The sequence below is a fragment of the Homo sapiens genome, chromosome 13 (genome assembly GCF_000001405.40).
Source record: "Homo sapiens chromosome 13, GRCh38.p14 Primary Assembly".
NCBI classification, from domain to species: Eukaryota; Metazoa; Chordata; class Mammalia; order Primates; family Hominidae; genus Homo; species Homo sapiens.
Genome location: NC_000013.11, coordinates 105,410,024 through 105,414,627, shown reverse-complemented (window position 1 = coordinate 105,414,627; position 4,604 = coordinate 105,410,024). Strand labels below are relative to the sequence as shown.

The 4,604-nt window shown below is 35.6% G+C and overlaps 1 long non-coding RNA gene across 1 annotated transcript; it reads right to left on the bottom strand.

Annotated features, from left to right (window-relative positions):
• Nucleotides 1-403: 403 nt before the first annotated feature.
• Nucleotides 404-3,812, bottom strand: LOC105370344 (uncharacterized). The gene is made up of 2 exons (XR_931697.2): nucleotides 3,731-3,812; nucleotides 404-592 (listed from the first exon to the last, which is right to left on the bottom strand). It is a non-coding gene; the product is annotated as an uncharacterized LOC105370344 (long non-coding RNA).
• Nucleotides 3,813-4,604: the final 792 nt, after the last annotated feature.

Below are 4,604 nucleotides of genomic sequence, written 5' to 3'. Positions count from 1 at the left end.
CAGGTTCTCGTTCTAGCTCTCCATCTAACTTCCATCTCTAGAGATGTGCCCTTGACAAAATGATTTTTTCCTCTGGACTTTAATTTCTTTATCTGGACCAGGTAAGCTCAAAGATCTCAGTTTAGTATTTGATTTTTCCAGATTAAAATCTAAGATGTGGTATCAGATACACTTTTCTATTTTTCTTTTATTTGTCAGACAAACAAGGTGAAAATGTGTTTAAAAACTAGGTTTATCCATTTTTTTCCTGTACAGTGTTCCTAATTCAACACTACATTTTTCTATATACTTTTAGTAGAAAGTGAATCATAAGTTACTTCAGTAGGATATATCTGTTGTTTTGCTCTTGTACTCTTCCTTTACTATTACTATTATTTCATAACATAAATAATGTTAAGAGATCTGGGTCTAAATGTAGGATTTAATTTTTCAAGTTTTTACAAATTCTATGAATTCCCTACAGTTTCTTTGGCCGTCACTATTTGTCTGGTTGTTTATAGAAGCCGAGAAGCAGAACCCCTATGGCTGAAGACTGGTCCTGATAGAGATTCTTCTTCTAATCTTCTCAAACCAGGAAGGTGTTCAGGTCACTCTGTAAATGATTCAAAGACAGATACTATGTAAAGTTACATTTTTCCTTTAAAATCCAGTCTGTAAGCAAATTTTATGCCTTATTTTAAATAACAAGATATGTAGCTTTGGCAACATGTCATCTTATTTGGATAGGCTATGCCAACAGGACCCAACCAGAGCAAGCCAAAAAAGATCTTTGAATGACAGACAGCTTAAGAAGAACAGAATCTGTTAGAGAAAATAAGAGAAAAGGAGAAATGTACTGAGCAGACCAAAAAAATAAAATAAAATAGAATAAAAGGAGCTTCCACACAAGGCTGTTGGGTTCATTCACCACATACCAAGGGAACACTACCAAGTAAATATTATAAATAAAATACTTGCTGGAGAAACTGAATATCCACCTGTAAAATAATGAATCAGAACACCTACTTCACTTCATGCCATATACAAAAACTAACCCAAAATAGATCAAAGATCTAAATTTAATAAGTATAAATATAAAACTCCTAGAAAGAAACATAGGTGAAAATATGCAAAAGTTTTTATTAGGGAATGAGTTCTTATATATGATGCCAAAAGCACAAGCAACCAAAGGAAAATCGATAAATTAGATTTTATCAAAATTAAAAACTTTTATGCATTAAAGGATACTATCAAGAAAATGAAAAGCAAGTAACAGAATAGGAGAAAATATTTGCAAACATATGTCTGACAAGTATTAAGTATCTAGAATGCTTCAAGAACTCTTACAAATCAGCAGTAAAAACACAATTCAATTAAAAGATGAACAAAGTTCAATATTAAGCTATTCCCCAGAGAAGATACACAAATGGCCAATAAGCAGTGAAAAGATACTAGCATTAGTCATTAGAGAATGCAAATCAAACCTACAATGAAATAGCACTTTGCACCTACTAGGTGGCTATAATTAAAAAATAAGCAAACAGAAACAAAACAACTATTGGTGTGGATGTAGAGTAATCGGAATCCTCATACATTGCTAGTAGGAATGAAACATGGTACAGCCACTATGAAAAAAGAAATGTTTTCAGTTCCTCAACAAGTTAAACATAGAATTACCATATGACCCAGCAATTCCGCAGCTAGGTAAATGCCTGAGAGAAGTGTGTTAGTCCATTTTCACACTGCTGATAAACACATCCCCGGGGCTGGGTAATTTATAACATAAAAGAGGTTTAATGGACTCCCAGTTCCACGTGGCTGAGGAGGCCTCACTCACAATCACAGCAGAAGGTGAAAGACATGTCTTACATGGCAGCCAGCAAGAGAGGATGAGAGCCAAGTGAAAGGGGCTTTGCCCTTATAAAACCATTGAGATCTCATCAGACTTATTCACTACCATGAGAACAGTATGGAGAAAACCACCCCCATGATTCAATTATCTCCCACCATGTCCTTTCCACATGTGGGAAGTATGGTAACCACAATTCAAGATGAAATTTGGGTGGGGACACAACAAAGCCATATCTGAAGTAAGACAAATTATCTCACAAAACTATACACCAATATTCCTAGCAGCATATTCATTATAGGTAAAAGAAGAAAAAAGGCACATGTCCATTATATTCATACAATAGAATATTATTCCATCATAAAAAGGAATGCGGTAGTGTTACATACTACATGATGAACCTTGAAAATATTATGCTAAGTGAAACAAGTCTGACACGAAAGACCACATAATGTATGATTCCATACAGAAGAAATGTTCAGAACAAGTAAAGGCACAGAGGCATAAAATAGATTAGTGGTTGCCAGTGGCTGGCGGGAGATTTCCATTAACAGCTAACATGTACAGGGTTTCTTTTTGGGTTATCAGAAAATTCTGGATTTCATATTTATTGTTGCAGAGCATAGTGAATATACTAAAACAAACAAACAAAACACTAACATATACTCTTGTAACTGGTGAATTTTGCTTATGTGAAAAATATGTCAGTAAAAATGCTAAAGTAAAACAACCTGAAGAGTTGACTATATATATTTGTAGATATACACAAGTATGCATTTAGCTTTTATAAACAATGTCTTGTTAAATTATTACTAGCAATTTTATAGTCAGTTAAGATTGAATACATGTTTAATTCCTGCCTTTATTGAATATTCATTCTGCAACTACTTGTGCTGGGCACTGTCCTAGGTTCAAATAATTTAACAATAATTAAGAGAGACATGCTTCTTCTAGAAAAGATCAATGATTTGAAAACATTTTTATTTCAGGACACTTTTATACTCTTGAAAATTATTGAGGACCCCAAAGAACTATTTTTTATATAGGATACATCCATCAATATTCACTTTATTAGATATTAAACTGAGAAAAATATTTTAAGCATGTGTTGAAATAATAAACTATTTTAATATAAATAATGCATGTATTAAAATATTTTCTATTAGAAACATTTTAGAGAAGAGTAAAATTATTTCATATTTTTGCAAATATTTTGACATCTGACTGAAGAGAAGATTTTCAGATTTTTACATCTGCTCCAGCATTTAGTCTATTGCAGGCTCTTGTTTTGGTTAAAATGTATGAAGGAAATTTTGCCTTGCACGGATATGGAAAAGAGAGGAGTATTTCAATTACCTTTTCAGAAAATTGTGAATATATATGTATATATATGTGTGTGTATATATATGTGTACAGATAGATAGATAGATGATAGATAGATAACTACATCAGCACTAAACAAGTGGTAATTTCTTACATGTTTGTTGCAATGTGTAATCCGGAACTGTATCAGTGAAATTCTTATAACCTGTTACATTAAAATTGATTGGTCGTTCTTTCACTTTGAAGAGATCTTTTAATCAAAAGTGATTTTGCAGAATTTTGCATTGGTCATTTGGAAAAGGTTTGTTCATGAAGCTTTGCAGATTTTCCAATTGTTGATACATTTTATGATACAAATAACACTTGTTAATACCACCACTGTTCTCAAAAGGAGTTTTAAGTGTGGAAGCCGTAAGCTGCCAAGCTAATGGTGGCACACACACGTTTTCCGAAATTCTGCTTTTCACTTGAAAGCTAGAATTTTATAATGAATAACAAGTACTGTCAGATGTTTCCCTTAGGGTCACTTTGTTCATGTTTGAAAAAGAAAAGTCTGCCAAATGCCTACTTATGAATTACCATGGTTTGTCAGTCATTCTCTCAATTAGAAGCGAAGAGCTACCAAAAAGTAGGCAGCGAACTCTCACTCCAACGACCGCATGAGCGCCCCCTGCCGTCAACTGTCACGCTGCCGTGCAGCAGAAGTGCTGGATTTCATCTGAGGATGTGAAAAAGGCATGTACTCAGGATGGAAATTCCACATAATGAACACTTTTCGCTGCTTCATCAAGGACGTGCTTAACTAAAAGCAGCATCGTTTTTGGTTGTTTGTTTACACTGGGTGTGTAGCAGTGAAGACTTCAGTGGCACCTAGTGCGGTAGCTCCTCGATTCTTCATCTGCACTTTCGCCATTGATGCGCCACTAGTTTTGCTCCCCTTATGCAATGTTAGCACAGTGAAAAAGACAAATACATTTCGTTTTGTTTTGTTTTTTTTGAGATGGAGTCTCTCTCTGGCGCCAAGGCTGGAGTGCAGTGGCGTGATCTCGGCTCACCACAAGCTCCGCCTCCCGGGTTCCCGCCATTCTCCTGCTTCAGCCTCCCTCCCGAGTAGTGTAGCTGGGACTACAGGCGCCCGCCGCCACGCCCGGCTAATTTTTGTATTTTTAGTAGAGACAGGGTTTCACCATGTTGGACAGGATGGTCTGCATCTCTTTACCTCGTGATCCGCCCAATTCGGCCTCTCAAAGTGTTGGGATTACAGGCGTAAACGTTTCTTAATATTATGGCAATAAATATAGTTTTGGCTCCAGAGTCCCCCTAAAAGTGTATTGGGACACCCAGAGACCTGCCTGAGCACCATAACTGGATAACTGCTGCTCTAGATTCTAAAACTTTCTCTGAGTTGCTTTATCAATTGTCCTTTTCTTGTTTTCTTACACATGGGAGATTC